This window comes from Homo sapiens, chromosome 1 (genome assembly GCF_000001405.40).
Source record: "Homo sapiens chromosome 1, GRCh38.p14 Primary Assembly".
NCBI lineage: Eukaryota > Metazoa > Chordata > Mammalia > Primates > Hominidae > Homo > Homo sapiens.
Window position 1 is genome coordinate 186,083,853 of NC_000001.11, and position 20,143 is coordinate 186,103,995.

Sequence of the window (20,143 nt, forward strand, 5' to 3'; positions counted from 1 at the left end):
CACTGTAGATGCTTAATAAGTGTCCTTGAAGTTTTTTGAATGGATAAATCTAACCAGAGCAGGAACACATGTGTTATGAATTCTCAGGAAGAATGAATTAATTAAACAAACATAATCATTGTGAAAGCACACATTCTAATCTGTAAAGTGCAGTAAATATTGGAAAATAAAATACTGATTAGTTTTCCTGATTGCTCAAGGCAAAATTCATTTTTCCTTCTCTATGTCAGAAAAGCATCTTGTAAATACCCCAATTGTAGCAGTTCCATATGTTGCCTTGTGTTATCTTCATATATCTGTATCTATGCCTCTATCCCATAACTTTATTGTAAGTGCTCTAGACAGATGGCCATATCTTACTTATCTTGGTCTCCCTAAACCTAGAATGGTGTCTATAGTTGTGGTAGTTGCTAAATAAATGTTTTCTGCATGTTTATTATATTTTCTTCATAATCATTGCCTCTTTGCAATGTACAGTAGAAACACCTGAAGTGGGACAGTGACTTGTGAGGAAGTAATCACTAGTGTTTTACCAATAAGGATTGGAGTTCAGAAATGTGTTTCTTCTTTCACCAGTTAATGATGTCTTGAGTTCCTGACTGCAATCAGGAACTCATTACTTAAATGTTGGAAAATTCATTTGAGGGGAAATAATGTAAATTATTTTCATGTAAAACAATACCATTTGTTATCTCCCTCTACAACTCTGCTTGCTTCTTTTGTACTCCTTCAGTCTGTTGGCATCTTAGGTTTTAGCTCTTTTCACTTTCCTTCATGGCCAGCTTAATTTTTGTGGAACAGCATTTCAGTCACTTCTCTTAGCCCATATCTTCTCATCACTCTTGCTCAGTAAAAGCTGAGCAACATATAACATATGTTATATGTCCTTGTTGCATATAACAACAAGGACAACAAACTGACTGCTTGAAACCTACCAGGTGCTGTGCCAAATGTTTTATATAGGTTATTTCACTTCATTATCTCAATAACCATATGTGCTTGCTACCATTTTATGCCTCCCCTGGAGGTGAAAAAGGCGAGGCTCGGTGAGATTAAGTAACATGCTCAAAATTACACAGCTTGCAAATGCTGCACCAGGATTTCAATGTAGGCAGTTTATTCCATAAGTTTTATACCTGCTTCTCTCTAATGCCTCTCACTAAATTCCACATCTGTACGCTACCTGCACTTAGGTAGCTCACCATGGCTGAAGGAAATCTTGAAGGCAGGAATATTGATGTCATTATAAATTCATAGTACCAGCTTGAACTGAGCCCTCCATACTGATTGCGACTTGTCGTTTTGTGTCTACACTATAGTGATTCTCTTAAACCTTCACGCCCTCCTCAAAAATATCAAGTGGCCACTGTCTTGGTCTGCTCAGGCTGCTTTAACACGACCAGAGACTGTGTGGCTTAAAGAACAGAAATTTATTTTCCCAAAGTTCTGGTGGCCGGAAAGTCCAAGATCAAGGTGCTGGCAGGGTTTGGTGTCTGGAGAAGGCTGTCCACCTGGTTTGCAGGCACCTGCTTTGTCTTCATATGGCCTGACATAGCCTTTCTTCTGAGCATGCTTGGTGAGAGAGAGCCAGTTCTCTGGTGGCTCTTGTTAAGGACACTAATCCTAAGGAATCATTTGACCTTAATTGCTTCCTTAAAGGCCTCATCTTCAAATACAGCCACACTGGGACTTAGGGCTTCAACACATGAATTTGCGGGGACAGAAACATTCAGTTCATAACAGCCCCCTCTCACTTTCTCTCAGTAAGTATTAACACTTTCACCTTCTCTTTTGCAGGGAAAAGAGAAAGCATATTCTAGAAATCCACCTCAAATTCCTACCATCAAATCGAGAGTACTGACCACATCTGTTCCTGCCATTTCTTTCTTCCTTCTTGTTTAAATAAGAGAAATGCATTGCTCTACCTTCCAAAGGCCGAAGTCTAACCTGACTCTAGATCCCTGCCCCATTATCTCCTAAAAAATCTCCTCCTGTCTCTTTAATATTGAAATTCTCACTATTATCTCCTTCTCTACAGCACTTAAGTAAAAATAAAATATTAACAAGATTATTCAAATATACTTAATAAAAAGCACATTAGGTCTCCTTTGTACATTGACAAAATCGTCTTAGGAATTGTCGACTATGTTTTACAAATAAAATGCAGAATAATTCTGTCTCTGAAAATTCTAATGCTCTCTTTCAATTGGGAAAAATAAACTCCAACGTGAGTTTGATGAAGGCATTAGGGAATTGTAAGACAGACAGCTAGATAATGAACAGAATCGTTAACTCAGTCCTTTAGCAGAGTACAGTGGTTGGATTTATATTTAGTAAATGGGAATATATGTTGATAACACCTGCTTTCACTTTTAATATATTTACTATTATAGTTCCTCCAAGTGTCATTGGTCCTAAATCTGAAAATCTTACCGTCGTGGTGAACAATTTCATCTCTTTGACCTGTGAGGTCTCTGGTTTTCCACCTCCTGACCTCAGCTGGCTCAAGAATGAACAGCCCATCAAACTGAACACAAATACTCTCATTGTGCCTGGTAAGGAACTTCTTATTATAAAGCAGGCAAAATTTTCTCATCTTTATTTTAATACAAACAGCATTTCAAATTAGTGTATTTCCAAACTTTTGTCGTGCTTCATTTATTTATTCACAGTAAATGCCTCTCTTTGCCCATTTGTGGTCATTAAGGTAAGATTTTGTAGACTTCTCTGATTTTAGTGGGAATGTACAAATAACAAGGTCTCCTTCAAGAAATGATAAAATTTAGAAAGAGAACAGCTTAGAACGGCCTAGTAATACCAAGTGGTAGATGGCAAATAGTACTTTCATTGGATACATCTGCTGGTTGTTTTTAATCCTAAAGTTCCGTAAGGATAGATGATAGACATAGATAGATAGATAGGTAGATAGATAGATAGATAGATGATAGATAGATAGATAGATGATAGATAGATAGATAGATAGATAGATAGATAGATAGATAGATAGATAGATAGATTAGACACCTCGGCATTGTGGGAAATTTAAACCCAGAAAACACTTAATATATTTTGACCATAGTACAATTACTATTTGCTCACCAGAGCCTGTATCAAACAGTTTTACTGTCCATGTTTTGATGCTGGAGAGAAAAATTCTATGAATCTCTTCCTTTATAAGGAACTAGGTGAATAATAAAGGAAAGATCAAAGAAAACTGATCCAATTATTTTATTTTAAATAGGAAGGCTTCTCTATAAATTTTACTCTAAGGGGAAGGATATATGTTGCTATTTATCTGATTGGTAAAATAGTTGTTAGAACAACCTGTATACCACTCTACAATTTGCATTCTATTTACCTACAGGTGGTCGAACTCTACAGATTATTCGGGCCAAGGTATCAGATGGTGGTGAATACACTTGTATAGCTATCAATCAAGCTGGCGAAAGCAAGAAAAAGTTTTCCCTGACTGTTTATGGTTCGTTTTTACTCTCTTCATAAAATTCTTTTATTTTAAAACTGGTATTCAATATTTTCTATCTGAGCACCTTAATGAAAAAGAAAATCCTTCTGTTATTTTCTTCCCTCAGTGCCCCCAAGCATTAAAGACCATGACAGTGAATCTCTTTCTGTAGTTAATGTAAGAGAGGGAACTTCTGTGTCTTTGGAGTGTGAGTCGAACGCTGTGCCACCTCCAGTCATCACTTGGTATAAGAATGGGCGGATGATAACAGAGTCTACTCATGTGGAGATTTTAGCTGATGGACAAATGCTACACATTAAGAAAGCTGAGGTGCATCTTTTATTCTTGTTTGAGTGTCATGACACCTTGGTGGGGTGGTGGAAAAGATGCTTGGAAGTTGCATATTCCCTTTTACTACAGTGAAAAATGATTTTCATTAAAAAAATACATAGCCAATGCCATTGACTATTTTTATAAAAAATAGCAAGATTGCAGAAGGCAATTAGAACTGGGGCATTGAGCATACAGATGACTGATGATTTAATCTAAACTCGAACAGTATGATTGGTCATCTATAACTTAATGGAGCACATACAATAGTATCTTTTTCTTTTAGGTATCTGACACAGGCCAGTATGTATGTAGAGCTATAAATGTAGCAGGACGGGATGATAAAAATTTCCACCTCAATGTATATGGTGAGCATTTGCCTCTAATACAACTCTTTTTCCCCTAGATATGCAAATGAAAAAAGTGTTCCAAATTAGCTTAATGAGGACAAATGATTTTCTTCTGTTTTTTTGTTTGTTTGTTTGTTTGTTTTTTACAGTGCCACCCAGTATTGAAGGACCTGAAAGAGAAGTGATTGTGGAGACGATCAGCAATCCTGTGACATTAACATGTGATGCCACTGGGATCCCACCTCCCACGATAGCATGGTTAAAGAACCACAAGCGCATAGGTAAGGCAACCATGCATTTTTGTGTGTGTGTGTGTTTTTTTCTCTTGCTCTTAATTCACTAGACTTTTAAACTAGCACATTTTAAGTACCATGCTCATAGGGGTGTTTAGTTCAAGAAGGCTAACGCACTGAAATACAGATTTACAAAATAGACTCATTGTAAAATGATTAGTCATTTTATAAAGAATTTTTTCTTTTTTAAAAAAGAAAATGGAGAACTTTTAAGAAATGCATTTATCACGTAAAGTAAGACATTTTATCATGAATTTTAGAGATGTTAAAGTTTAAAGGTTTTTTTATGTTTTATTGTGCTTTGTTTCTACCTCTAGAAAATTCTGACTCACTGGAAGTTCGTATTTTGTCTGGAGGTAGCAAACTCCAGATTGCCCGGTCTCAGCATTCAGATAGTGGAAACTATACATGTATTGCTTCAAATATGGAGGGAAAAGCCCAGAAATATTACTTTCTTTCAATTCAAGGTATGTATTGTCCACTATGATCTATCTTCAATTTCTTTGTTATTCCATTTATAGTACAAAATAATCTACATTTAAAGGTATCAGTAGTAATTGATTCAACATATCTTTAGATCATCAAAAACTATCATCAGTTTTCTGTCTTATATTTACCAGTAGATTCTGTTTTCATGGAAATGGACATAAATGTGGAAAAAAGAATAGTGGAAATTTGGTAATCTCTACTTTTTCCAATTTTCCATTTCCACTTCCATTATTATCTTTCTATAGTATATATCTATGGAGTTATACTTATTTTAAACTGGTATAATTCATTTTGATGGTAAGCCTATAGATCTGTTCTTACTTGTATAGATAAGATTTAATTCACAAAGAAGTTGTACTATGATCTGACCGCAGGTAGATTAGGTAAATTTTAATGAATGATGAATCTTATACTATTTTAAGATGAGCAATTCATCAAGTATTTAATTAATGCCTATTATGTTCCAACATAGTATTAAGCATTGCAGGGACAACTTGTTTTCTTTTGATTTTCAGTAAACCTCTGATTATTACATTTGGCTCAGTATTGAAACTGAAATGAAAGTCTAACTTGAAACTAAGTTGAAATACTTTTTCTTCCAATCTTATAGTTATTAGGGAAAGAATTTCTCATAAATTATGAATTCTACTATGAATATTACGTATCTGTTGTGTGCTCTGCTAAAGCTAACTCCAAAAAAATACAATTAGAAGAATTAAGTTCACAGGTATCAGTGGTCTCTCTGTGATGATTAGTGATGCTTTGGGATTTCAGAAGCTGAAGGAAAAACAGCTAGTCAGAGATTCAACGTCAGAAGTTGCATATTGAATTATGTCTAATGCATTAATAATAACAGATGCTAATCATGAGATATGTTGTAGGACTAAACATTTTACCAGATTTTTATATACTTTATTATGTCTTAGAACTAGAAATAGTATATGCATATAGGACCTAGTCCAGTGCTTGTCATATATTAGATACTCATTATAGGATGTCTCTTATTACTAATGTTCTTATTGACTCAACTTCTTTAGTACTCTAAATTGTGCAAAAGTGGTAAAATTATTATTTTCTGAATGACTAAAATTAGATTTATAGAGCTTATTCAGTGATGTGCTGGTAAATGTTTAAGAATTTTCTCTCCAGACAAAAAGACCATGATTCGTAGCCAATTGTTTGCCAGTCTCCATGGTGTAAATATTCCCACCATGATCTAATATATACAAGATTTCAACCTACCAAAGGGATGTTACTGAACATGGAGTGGGGAAAACATGTACAAAATTGGCTTTTGCGACCTGGTGTGAACTACCTTCTGCACATCGCTATGATCATATAGAATAGGAATTCAAACATGTTTATATCTGATACCATTGGCAGTATTTTTATTACGCAATATTTCTCAGTGAAATCAAAGTGGAAACCAAAGATGGCTAGAAAAAGAGAATAGAAACTATTGGCTCTTCAGAACTACAACAAACCTATCCATTGTTCAAAATAAACAATAATTAAATTGAATAATGGAGAAAGAAATAACCAACTTAGATAATTTCCTCAGACCTTTATGCCAAGTTTTTATAAGACAGAGTCTATAAGTCTAGTGAATTAAGAGCAAAAGAAAAACACAAAAAAATGCACACTGCCTTACCTATGTGCTTGTGGTTCTTTAACTGTACTATCCATTGAGGATTTAATCTAAGAGTAATTTAATTTGGCCAGAAAGGGTGATCATGAGGTAGCTCTATCACTAGCCCCTATGACTAAATAATTATATCAACTTACAAATACACCAGAAATATTGAAGCGTTCCTTTATCTTTGTCATTTAAAAGTAATTCATGAAGATAACAATAGTTTGACCTTGAACCATAATCTACAAAGAATATGAACTAGAAATGTCATATTGTTTTATGACTCTGTTACATTAGAATTTATATCCTGTGTCTTGTTAATGAAATTCCTAATTATTTCTCCAAAGTTCCTCCAAGTGTTGCTGGTGCTGAAATTCCAAGTGATGTCAGTGTCCTTCTAGGAGAAAATGTTGAGCTGGTCTGCAATGCAAATGGCATTCCTACTCCACTTATTCAATGGCTTAAAGATGGAAAGCCCATAGCTAGTGGTGAAACAGAAAGAATCCGGTATGTTTAAAAATAATCTTTCCATTATAAATTGTAAGCCCTTCTACAATGCTTTATGCTTCAAATTTCACATGAATAATAATACCGAATTCCATCCCATTGGAACTTAGCTATCATTATATTCACAAAGAAACAAAAAACTTTTTTTTGAGAACTGGACATAGACATTCTCGTTAGAGAGTCACTCAGAATTGTGTATGTTTCTCATCCGTTAACTCTGTAATGTTAATTAACTCATTAACTTTAACTAACTTTAACTCATTAACTGTAATGTTAACTGTTGGTGATTTTATTCTTGTAATTTCAGAATGATTATGCTAAAGCCCATGCCATAAAAATAATTAGTTCTTTCCTGCAAATGCCAAACCAACTTTATCTCACAAATGATTCATCAATAATTCTAGATATGATTTTGTATGCTGAAACCACCAAACTGTGTACATGCTATAATTGGCTCCTTTTGAGAAAAGATACAATAATGTCATAACTGTTATAGTGGTTTGTTCAGATGCCATTTTCAGCTGACACTTGTTACCCATGCAACAAACCACATAGAGATGGGCATGCTATCCTGATTGGCTCATTTTGAGAAAAGATGCAATAATGTCATAACTCTCATAATGGTTTGTCCAAATCCCATTTTCAGCTGGCACTTGCTACCCATGCCACAAACCACATAGAGATGGAATAATAATGTGGTAAAGACCTTGTACTACTTTCAACAACAAATTCCTTTGGAAGGACAATCTGGAATTTGATATTGTACTAGATTACTTCATCACAAAATCCCATTACCTACACATACCAGATTAATTATATGCATAAGTGGGCATTAACTACATGTATTGTAAACTTTAACATTGTGGACCAATATGTAAATTTAAGGGTTTGGAGTATATTTTCTGGTCAATAAATTGAACATATATATAACTTAAAGAGATAAATGTTATTTTCTTTGTATTCATTGTGTATTAAAATTTCTAGTCTTTCAGAGGATACATTTTAAGTTTTATTTCTCTGGTGTGAACATTTTTGAGTAAATAACAAGTGTTTAATTATTTTTGTTAAATCAGCTGGTATTTGCCATATTCCAGACCAAGTACTACATATTTGATGGTACCTAAAGATTTTATATGGGCTATAAAGATAAGATCTTTTATATATGATATCTTTTATATAAGATAGTATTCATAGCTAGGAATTTGGAGTCTATCATTCCTTCTCCTACATTAACATTCTAAATTTACTTATTCTTTTATCTTTATTATTCATTCCATAATATGTATAGATTTGTAGGTAGTACAGTTTGTCAGTCAACTACAATAGTTTTTCCAAAGTCAATGTACTACCTTTGTTTGATCATGGCAACTTGCTTTTTGCTTATTAATTTAATTAAACTCATGGAATTAAAAAAATTTTATTTTGAAAAAGAAAAAATACAGCTGTATCCCAGATAATAATATAGCTCTCAATAAACATTTAATAACAAGATATAATAGAAATGGAGCTTTTACTTTTGACACAGGGTAATTCTAATGAAACCACTATTGTACAAGTAACTGTAGATGGCAATTTAATCTCTACAAAAAACACAGGAAATTTTGATTTGTAATTAATGGTGTGTGAGGACAACCAATAATGCAATAATCTTAGCTTAGAGATCTTTAATGATCTCATTGTATATTTATCTTTTACTATTATGTAATTCAAAAGAAAAGCTTTATTTAGCAATTTGTAGAAAAAAAGTTTGCAAAATATAGCCACATATGATACCAAATTGTTGTCACAATTTAAATGATCCTATTGTGTTTTTTATTAAGGTATTAAGTTGTTTATAACTATATTAAGTTGCTTATAACTAGATTTTTATGTGTAATTTTTTCAGTTTCTCATTGTAACAGTCTTCAATTTTCATGCCAGAATTTTGTATAACATGCATTTAATTCAAACCTTATATGGATAACTAAGAATATAGTATTCTATCTCAGAGAAAATCATGTCTTTGCCTATGATTTGAATAGAGAAGTATTCCTGATTTTGTTCACTTCCTTTTTTTCTTATAAGGAGGTGGTAGATATGAGACTCGCTACTGTAGAATTTCAGTTGGTTGCTTGAATTTTCCATCACTTTCAGTAACTGATTTTAATAGGCTTTCATGTACTTAGTGAAATAGATTCAATCTCATCTCAGCCCCTCTGTTATGATCTTTTCCGTAGAGTGAGTGCAAATGGCAGCACATTAAACATTTATGGAGCTCTTACATCTGACACGGGGAAATACACATGTGTTGCTACTAATCCCGCTGGAGAAGAAGACCGAATTTTTAACTTGAATGTCTATGGTAAATATGAAATATCCCCCTCTTTTGATGATGCTGCCTTAAGAATCTACCAGTAGAAGTGAAGGCCCAGCAGCAGGTGTCTGGAGCATTTAGTTTTAAATTTGATGCCACCACTATTTCCTTTTGGGCTACAATTTTGAAATGAGAGCAATTGTAGTAGAAATTATTTGAACTAGTATTACATAATACATCCCTCTTCCCTCTCTCTCACTTTCTGCACAACATAGTTACACCTACAATTAGGGGTAATAAAGATGAAGCAGAGAAACTAATGACTTTAGTGGATACTTCAATAAATATTGAATGCAGAGCCACAGGGACGCCTCCACCACAGATAAACTGGCTGAAGAATGGACTTCCTCTGCCTCTCTCCTCCCATATCCGGTTACTGGCAGCAGGACAAGTTATCAGGTCAGCTTTTATTGTGTCTGATTTCCTAAACAGATGAAGTAACTGTGATTGTAGACTTTTCCTTCATTTAAACAGTGTTGAAGAAATGTTTTTTTCTAAGCCTTTACAGTTTTTTTCCCTTTAAGTATATTTTTAGTAGAGGAAGGACAACAAATATACAGTTGAAATGATTTTTTATCCTTATTTAAGTGCTTTCATTTTTTAGTAAATGTGTAAAATGGTCTTTTATAGACAGGTTTGTTATCATATATGTATTTCCAGGAATTACTGTTTTAGCTAAAACTTTATGTGGCAAGGTAGTAGGAAGATGCCTACTATGATAATGTGATTTTCATGTTAGCAGCATTCTCTATTAATATATATTTGAAAAATATTCACCTCTTAAATTGTGCTATATTTTCAGTGGTTTATTGTCACTGCCTAATCAGCTTTGTAGAATAAATTGCATTTGAGGCCCCTATATTTTGTGATGGATGGCTATAAGCTTCATAATTAAAATTTCCCAACATAAATCACCACCTATAGCCTATTTATAAATCATAATTATTTTATGTGTACTTGTTGTATGGGAGCAAGTGATGAAATGTGGATCAAATTGTTTCTCAGGATTGTGAGAGCTCAGGTGTCTGATGTCGCTGTGTATACTTGTGTGGCCTCCAACAGAGCTGGGGTGGATAATAAGCATTACAATCTTCAAGTGTTTGGTATGTGTCACAGAAATGACCCTATTACTTTGCTATGTCAAGTATTAAGCAACAGACTTATCTTTAGAAACCGACTTCCTCAGAGATTTAGAAATCTGACTTTATCAAAAAGGATTAGTGAAATAGGATCTTACTGACTAGAGAATGTATTTTCTTCCAAGGGGTCCATATTATTGGACCATATTGTCTGTTTATCAAAATACTGATCTAGAAATTTGCACTAAATCAAATCTAATTTTTAAAAATAGCATTTCAATCCAGACACAAGACCAGTCTTTTCATGTAAAGAAAAAGTCAAAACTTTTCTAACAATATTAGCAGCTTGTTTGGAGTATTCAAACTATGAATGGATGCATGTGCATATATGCATGTGTGTGTATGCGTATATATGGAGAGAACTCAATACCTTCCATTTCGGAAATATTGAAGTTTGCTGATCCACATTTCTCAATCCCCAAGAACACCTCAGTTAAGTAACGCTTTATTGTAATCTACAAATGACTTACCCTATAACTTGATATTATTTATACTCTATAGAGTAGTTAAAAGAATACTACTAAAACTATTATATACATTACAACAAGTTAAAGGGATAGAGTGAAGAAGTTGAAAAATCACCAAAATTTAAAACACATTGTGCGTTCTGTAAGAAAACAATTTTTAAGTTTCATTGCTAATCTTTGGAAGATTAATAATTAGCATTCCTAATAGATATTTTTATTGTAAAGTCCTTAGTTATTATACACAATTTTAAAGTATATATTTTTATCAACCACAGAAACATTATAGAATTATTCAAATGTTTTAATTTAAATTGATCTCAAATTACAATAGACATCCAAATTTTGCCCATGTTGTTTTCTATGTAGCACCACCAAATATGGACAATTCAATGGGGACAGAGGAAATCACAGTTCTCAAAGGTAGTTCCACCTCTATGGCATGCATTACTGATGGAACCCCAGCTCCCAGTATGGCCTGGCTTAGAGATGGCCAGCCTCTGGGGCTTGATGCCCATCTGACAGTCAGCACCCATGGAATGGTCCTGCAGCTCCTCAAAGCAGAGACTGAAGATTCGGGAAAGTACACCTGCATTGCCTCAAATGAAGCTGGAGAAGTCAGCAAGCACTTTATCCTCAAGGTCCTAGGTATGTAAACATTGTGGTAAATGTAGAATAATTGGAAAGTAAGTGATAGTGAATGTTTAGTAAATAAGTATAATTCTGAGAATCAGTTGCTGTGAGAGAATTTTTTAAAAAATTTTTATTGCATTTTAATTTTTTTTATAATTCACCTTGGCTTACTCTCATCTGAAGCATGTTGAATTTAAATTGTATTTTTTATCTCTCTGAAAAGATGAAAACTCCAGCTTGTAAAACATTACTCATTGATAAAACCTTATAACCAATTGAGAAGCAGCTTTTTAAACTTTTGCCAAGAATTGAAAACACATCCGATTATAGAAATTTGATGAAAAAGCATAATAGGTATACTATGATATGTTATCCCTGTCTTTAAATGATCCAGTCTGTACCTTATAGCTGGAATAATCATTTCAAATAGTCTAGTTCTATTTATTCTTGTGTGCATTTAAAGTAAATACTTAAAATATGTATTCCAGTGTTCTAAATGCAACAGTTTAAAGAGAAAACACTTCTTTTCCTTGAAGTAAAAAATGCTAACCTTGGAAGAGAAAGTAAGATAATGAAACGAAGTATTTCAATAACCAAGAGCTTTTGGCATTTTGCTTGTTTTTCTCACTGTGAAGTAAGTGAGACTCCATGCTCCTTACATAGCAGAAAATACACCCTATAGAGAAGAGCAAAAATACTTTTGGCAAGAGTCTTGGTTAGGTAGAAGTTAGCATATGTTTCAGCGTGTGTTATAATCCTTCTCAGAGCAACTATTAAAATTTATTCATGTAACCCTAAAATTCTGCTTCATCCCTAGTTAAGCTTTATGAGGGCAGATGTCTTCTTACTTACTTCTGCATTCCCAGTGCTTAGCATGACATTTAATACACTAGAGACTATTAATGTGTTATTTGTTGGATTAAACTGAACCGAACTAGTTACTTTCCAGGTGGATTAAAGGGAGTTTCTTCTGTAGAGGGAAGCAGAACCATATCTAAATAAATGAAGTATGGTTCTCTGGAGTAGATGTGACTTCCATAGAATGGAGGCCGGTAGTAAAGGAAGTTCTCCAGGATATTTAGGGGCAAAAGAAAACTACAACCCAATATCCCTTATCAACATAGTTGCAAAAATGCTCAACAAAATACTAGCAAACCAAATTCGACAGTATATTGAAAAGATCATTCACTCTGATCAAGTGGGTTGCATTCCAGGGATGCAAGGATGTTTTAACATACACAATCAATAAATGTGATACATCACGTTAACAGATAGGACAAAAATCATATGATCATTTCAATAGATGCGAAAAAAGCATTTGATGAAATTCAACATTCCTTCATGAGAAAAACCCTCAACAAATTAGGGATAGAAGATACATACCTCAACACAATAAAGACTATTTATGATAAATCCACAGCTAACATCACACTAAACAGGAAAAAGTTGAAAGCCTTTCCTACAAGGTCTAGCAGAAGATAAGGATGCCCACTTTCTCTACTTCTATTAGACATAGTATTGAAGTCCTAGCTAGAGCAACAGGCAAAAAAATAAAAGACATCCAAATTCGAAAGGAGGAAGTCAAATGTTCTGTTTGCAGACAGCATAATCTAATATATAGAAAACCTCTAAAGACTCCACCAGAAAACTCTCAGAAATGATAAACAAATTCAGTAAAGTTGTGACTTAAAAATCACCGTACAAAAATCAGTAGCGTTTCTATTTGCCAACAGCAAATTGTCTGAAAAAGAAATCAAGAAAATAATCCCATTTACTGTCAGCCCTGCATATCCATCGGTTCCACATCTGTGGATTCAAACAACTGCATATCAAAAATATAATATTCATTGGATGTGGAATCTGCAGATACCGAGGGCCAACTGTGTATCCATGGGTTTCTCAAGGCCTACTGCCGGGCTTGAGCATCTGCAGATTTTGGTATTCACAGAGGGTCTGGAACCAATCCTCTGCAGAGACTGAGGTACAATAGCTATCAAAAAAAAAAAAGATATGTAAGAATAAATTTAAACATCAGTGAAAGAAATGGAAAGGAAACAAATAAATGGAAAGATATTTCATGTTTATGGATTGGAAGAATTAATACTATTAAAATGGCTATACTCCCAAAACAATCAGATTCAATGCAATTTCTATGAAAATACCATTGGCATTCTTCACTGAATTAGAAAAAAAAAATCTAAAATTTGTATGGAACCACAAAAGACTCCAAATAACCAAAGCAATCTTGAGTAAAAAGAACAAAGCTGAAGGCAGCAGACTACCTGACTTAAAAATACTACAAAGCTGTATTAATCAAAACAGCATGCTATTGGCATAAAAACAGACACATAGACCAATTGAACAGAATAAGGAGCTCAGAAATAAATTCATGCATCTACAGCCACCTGATTTTTGACAAAGGTCCCAAGAACACATACTGGGGAAAGGATAGTCTCTTCAATAAATGGTGCTGGGAAAATTGGGATGTCCACATGCAGAAATATGAAACTAGACCTCTATCTTTCACTGTATACAAAAATCAACTCAAAATGGATTAAAGAGTTAAATGTAAGATCCCAAACTACGAAACTACTAGATGAAAACACAGAGGAAACACTTCATGATATTGGACTAGGCAAGGATTTTTCTGGATAAGAACTCAAAAGCATGGGCAACAAAAGCAAAAATAGACAAATGGTATTATATCAAACAAAAAGCTTCTGCACAGCTAAGGAAACATTCAACAAAGTGAAGAGACAACCTACAGAATGGGAGAAAATATTTCAAACTATACCTCTAAGGGGTTAATATCCGATATATGTAAAGAACTTAATAGCAAAAAAACAAAGAGCACAATTTTAAAATGGACAAAAACCTTAACAGACATTTCTCAAAAGATGACATGTAAATGGCCAAGAGGTATATGAAAAAAGCCTCAACATTACTAATCATCAAACAAAGGCAAATCAAAACCAAAATGAGATATCACCTCACTCTAGTGAGGATGGGTATGACCAAAAAGATAAGAGATAACAAGAGTCGGCAAGGATGTGGAGAAAAGGGGACACTTGCACACTGTTGGTGGGATTGTAAGTTAATATAGCCATTATGAAAACAGAGGTTCCTAAAAAAATTAAGAATAGAACTACCATATGGTTCAGAAATCCCACTACTGGATATATATCCAAAGGAAATGAAATCAGTATGTCAAATAAATCCATGTTTATCACAGCACTATTCCCAACAGACAAGATATATAATCAATCTAAATGTTCAACAATGGATGAATGAATAAAGACAATGTAGTAGATATACACAATGCAGTACTATTCAGCCATAAAAAAGAATGAAATTCTGTCATTTATGACAACATGGATGAACCTGGAGAACATTAAACTATGTGAAATTAGCCAGGCACAGAAAGAAAATACCACATGATTTCATTCATGTGAAATTTTAAAAAGTTGATCTCATAGAAGTAGTGAATAGGACAGTGGTTACCAAAGACAAGGGAGACAGGGGGAGTAGGTCAGTGGGTACAAAGTTACAATTAGAAAGGAAGAATGAGTTCTGGTGTTCTATTGCACAGTAGGGTGACTATAGTTAATAATATACTATTGTATATCTCAGAGTAGCTAGTAGAGAGGAATTTCAATGCTTTCACCACAAAGAACTGATAAATGTTTGAAGTGATGGAAATGCTAATTACCCTGATTTGATAATTACACAATGTATACATGTATGGAAACATCACATTGTACTCCCTAAAGATGCATAATAATTATGTGTCAATGAGAGAAAAAAGAAAAACTGTGTGTCTGGGAGGTGCAGGGTGGGGTTGGGTAGCAAATTCCTGTACATCAATTCACAGAACATGAGGAGTAAGAGGAGATGACATAATGTGATCCTGTACATTCATTATTCACATATCAAGTATTAATTATTGAATATACGTTATATGACAGGTATGTTTCTAGCCATCATTTAACTATAATTATGAACATGTGTGGTGTGGCAAACATGCAAATGCATCACTAAGAAAGATATGATCTCAGCCCTCAACTTCCTCCATCTGTGGAAGACACAGATACTAAAGAAGTAATTACTTTTCAGTGTAATGAGGATTATATGGATAAAACAACATTCTGTGGGATGGTAGATTTCAGATTCGATCTCCTCAAGCATAAATCTGAGCCCTGAAGAGTAGGACTGTAGAGATGAGTGGGGAATTTTATATACATTTCTCACCTGGAGGTAATACAATTTGAATTGTCAATTTGCACTCCCTGAAACTGAGTGTAAGAGGAAGAGTAGCAAGAGACAAGACAAGAACTATATATGGGCAGATGCCAAACTATGCAAAGCTCTGAGAACTTTGAGGAAGTTTGGACCTCATTACCAAGGCAATGGAAGAATCTTAAGGAGAAATATTTTACAGCCAGATTTCGTTTCCAAAAAATCCCTCTGACAGAGTGACAGAGTGAAAAATGAATTGAAGAGGCTGCTGTATTCATACAGCCTGTAAATGCAGGGGCCTGGTCTAGCATGTGGCAGGGGGAGGGGGAGAGCGGGGAGAAAGAACTCAGGAGCAGAATCACAGACTGGTGCATTTCTGGATGAAGAAAATGAAGGAGAAAAACAACAATGATATTCTTAGTGGAATTCTTAAAGAACAGCCTGCCTTTAATAAAGTTGAAGAGTTTATAAGAATAATAATTTCTCAAAACAGATTTGAAAACTGGCTTAGAAGAAAGATGAGAAGTTTTAGCATTTCAGCATATGTTGAAAATTAATTCCATTAAACTCTGAAAAGTTCTTCACTTGAAGCAGTGCTACCACTCAGAATGCAAACATCTTAACTTGGGGAAATATTCTTTATTTAATTCTATCCATGTGGTGGGAGGTATCATGGTATAGTGGTTCTGAAAAGTCCAGTGTGGCTAGACCACTGAAAACAAGGGACAGCATATTACAAAATAGGGGGTTTTCATAGGGCCAGGTCATAGAGCACTTTTTTGACCACATTAAGAAGTCTGCTTTTTATCCTGTAACAATGAGAAATCATTCAAAGTTCTAAAAACGGAATAACAAATAGAACTACAGTTTGAGAAGAGCACTCTGGCTATAAAATGCAAGGCTACTTGGACCAGGACAAGAATGGATTCCGAGAGACCAGTATAAGGAATTGTGTTTGGCTGTGAATTACAGAGTTGAAATATGGTGGGTTAAACACAGTACTTCTGTTTTTCTCACTGGGATGGCTGGAGGTAGGCAGTTGTTGGATTGGTTCAGCAGTTCAAATATTTTCAGTTCTTTTGAACCTTTACAACATGGTTGTTTGGTGATCAATGCAGTATCTGCTCACCCCTAGCATAACTAGATGCTGTTCTAGATGCAACAATAGAGCAGGAAACTAGGAAGGGCAAAGTGTTGCCCCTTTAGAAAAGAATTAAGACTTTCTTACAAGCCCCACAAAACCACATCCACCTACATCTCATTGGTCAGAATTGTCATATACCACTCCATCCACTCCATCTACTCTCTGCTAAAGAGGCTAGGAAATGTAATTTGTTTAGCACATTGACAATCCCAACAAAATTTGAGTCTGTTAATCAGAAAGAAATCAGTAATTTTGGGTAGGCACCTACAACTAGGAAGAAAAAAAAAACATTAAGTAAATGGTATTGTAGCTCAAATTAGAGTGAGGGAGATGAGAGAAAAAGGTGTATTCTGGAAATAAGTACAGTGGAAGTATTAGGACTTGGTTGTAGACTGGGACACAAGGGAGTGATGAAGAAGGTATCAAGCATGACTCTTAGTTTCTGGCTTATGTGACTAATTGGTAAATTCATCACTTAGATGCAGAAAATACTGGAAAAAAACAAGTTTTGAGAAATAAGGCAATAGGTTCAGTCTGAATACATGTTGAGTTTTAAGTGATTTTCAAACATCCAAATGGAGATGTTTATTTGATAATTGCATTTATGAATCTGGAGCTCAGAAGAGAGTCTAGGCTGGAAATATAAATTCTGGAGTTATTGGAGTATAGACAACTCTTACTCTGCCCGAAGTACAAGACATATGGACAAAACACAGAGTAAAATAGTTCACAATCACTTAACACAGGTAAGATCTGGACAGTCTGGGGTTTGAACTACACAAGAGCATGTTAATACTGTTACTGCTGCTACTATTTTAAATCCAGTGATTATAAACTTTGGGGTGGGGGCAGTGAGCATGCCTTATTAATCTTTGTATTCATGATGATTGACATATACTAAATAACCGAGAAGTAAGAGGAGTAAATAATTGACTATGGCAAACCAGGAATTAGATAAGTGTTTTGAGTAGTACAAACAACTTGATACGAAAATGAAAAAGCATAGACATTTTATAATTAGTTCAGAGAATCAATAAATGATTTATAGTTTTCACAAATGAACTTGAGGACAATGTAACCGTGATGGTACTTGGGCATTCTCAGTTGCGGGACTATGAGGAGCAAGAAAGGACGAAGCTTGTTGAGAGATTTGAAGTCTAGGTTACATATAAGTATGTTAAAATTAAATAATGACAAAGATAGATCTAGACCATATTGTGGAAGTCTTGGAAACCATGATGAGTTTTTATTTAATCCAGTAAGCAACATGGAGCCATTAAAATCTTTTAAGCAGAAAATCTTAGATTAATATTAAACTGCACTTCAGAAAATGTATTTTGACAGCAATATGTAAGATAGATAGAAGTAAAAAGAGGTCATGTGGGACAGTGGTGTAGAAATGCTGACTTCATTATAATCTAAGAAGGAGAACTGACTTAGTATATTATCTTTCTCCAGAAGGAAAACAGAGACTAACAGATGGTAGAAATTTTAGGAAGCAGATTTTAATAATACCAACAGTTGCAGTAAACACTGTAGTAGTAATAAGTTTTTTAAAACCTTTAATTGTAAAATAGATACAGAAACACACAAAAAAGTGTATAATGTATCTCACTGACGCCACACACTGATCCTATTAGGTAAATAATGTTGGTATCCCCATTTTAGAGATTTGCTCAAATCCATGAAACTAATAATTGTTGACACCAGCATTAAAACTCAGACTCCAGATCTTCTGCTATGAGTCACTGTTCTAAACTATGTGCCTTATTAAAGAAAAAAGAAAGAAAAACAAACCTGCTAACCCCTGGCGCTGTCCAACAGCTATTTTGGCTGCCTTGTCAAATAGTAAGCTGGAAACTTGAACTATGAAAGTGTCATAGAAAACGCAAATGGTCATCATAAGGGGAATGTGTTTTAAAGGAATTACCAAAGTTGGGAGTAGTTAGACTAAAGAACCTTAAATGTTTCTTCCCAGTGTTTAGATTGTTTGACCTTCTCTTGAGAAAGGTAATTTTAGAAGTATAAGTAACAAAAGAGGAAGTTACTCCCATCCAGACATAACAAATGTGTTTTATACAGAAATTATCTCCAAATGTAACTATTTTTTCTTCTGCTTAGTCATTGTTTCCTCTCAAAGTTCTGCATGGAAAAGATGATAGCAAAATTCCACAGTATTCACGCATTGTTTTTGTAGAAACTATTGGTATTTAAAGATACAAAAACATAATAATATGCTAAGTCCCTCTAAAAAAAAAAGTGGTACAAGCTGCGTTTGGTTTTTATTGTTTTCAAATCTTTCAGTCAAGTGAGACTGTTCTAATTAACTGAGTTTGAACTGTTGTTCAATAATTGCATGGTAATGAATTGCCATTTACTTCATTATCTCTCATAGGCATGATCCATCCCTTTTGAAAGTGTGTCAATGAGAAATGGTAATGACATCTAGGAATTATTTCACTTTCCTTGTTCTAATCAATTTTTATCATGTGAATGTGAATTTGTGTTGGATTTTCAAGTTTTTCTAACGAGCAATATTTTATGAAACTGTGGGTTTATTATTATTTTTGATTCCCTTTAAATAGAACCACCTCACATTAATGGATCTGAAGAACATGAAGAGATATCAGTAATTGTTAATAACCCACTTGAACTTACCTGCATTGCTTCTGGAATCCCAGCCCCTAAAATGACCTGGATGAAAGATGGCCGGCCCCTTCCACAGACGGATCAAGTGCAAACTCTAGGAGGAGGAGAGGTTCTTCGAATTTCTACTGCTCAGGTAAGTGTCAAAGTTCATAGAATTATTTTAGGTTAGGTCAAACTTCTCACTTGCTAATATATGAGATTTGTTAAATTATGTCTTTGAATCCTTATATATCACAGATCTGTGTAACTGGAGCAGGATGGATTAGTCCTATGATATGCATGATTGGGTAACTTGATTAAAAGGAAGACAAAGCAGTATCATATTAAACTCCGAAGAAAGCAAGATACCTTTCCATTAACTTTTGCAAGTTTTCACAGTGCTATAAGTGTTAGTATATTTCCCAAAGTTCTTAATTTATACTATGTACCCCTTAATGGAACTGGCAAAAAGCAATCCAAC

General features: G+C 34.3%; 1 protein-coding gene across 6 annotated transcripts in view; it reads left to right on the top strand.

Moving 5' to 3' along the window:
• The window catches only part of HMCN1 (hemicentin 1), a 456,559-nt gene that overhangs the window by 349,462 nt on the left and 86,954 nt on the right, over positions 1 to 20,143 (top strand). For 4 of the 6 annotated variants that reach the window (NM_031935.3, XM_011510038.4, XM_017002437.2 and 1 more), the window contains 12 exons: positions 2,394 to 2,555; positions 3,365 to 3,478; positions 3,591 to 3,793; positions 4,080 to 4,161; positions 4,293 to 4,424; positions 4,754 to 4,903; positions 6,906 to 7,065; positions 9,282 to 9,406; positions 9,634 to 9,817; positions 10,424 to 10,521; positions 11,391 to 11,669; positions 19,620 to 19,816. In NM_031935.3, the coding sequence (NP_114141.2) occupies positions 2,394 to 2,555; positions 3,365 to 3,478; positions 3,591 to 3,793; positions 4,080 to 4,161; positions 4,293 to 4,424; positions 4,754 to 4,903; positions 6,906 to 7,065; positions 9,282 to 9,406; positions 9,634 to 9,817; positions 10,424 to 10,521; positions 11,391 to 11,669; positions 19,620 to 19,816 (1,886 nt within the window). Of the gene's footprint in view, positions 1 to 2,393; positions 2,556 to 3,364; positions 3,479 to 3,590; positions 3,794 to 4,079; positions 4,162 to 4,292; positions 4,425 to 4,753; positions 4,904 to 6,905; positions 7,066 to 9,281; positions 9,407 to 9,633; positions 9,818 to 10,423; positions 10,522 to 11,390; positions 11,670 to 19,619; positions 19,817 to 20,143 lie in introns of those variants that run through there. The other 2 variants (XM_024450118.2, XM_011510041.4) reach the window with 2 other exon arrangements.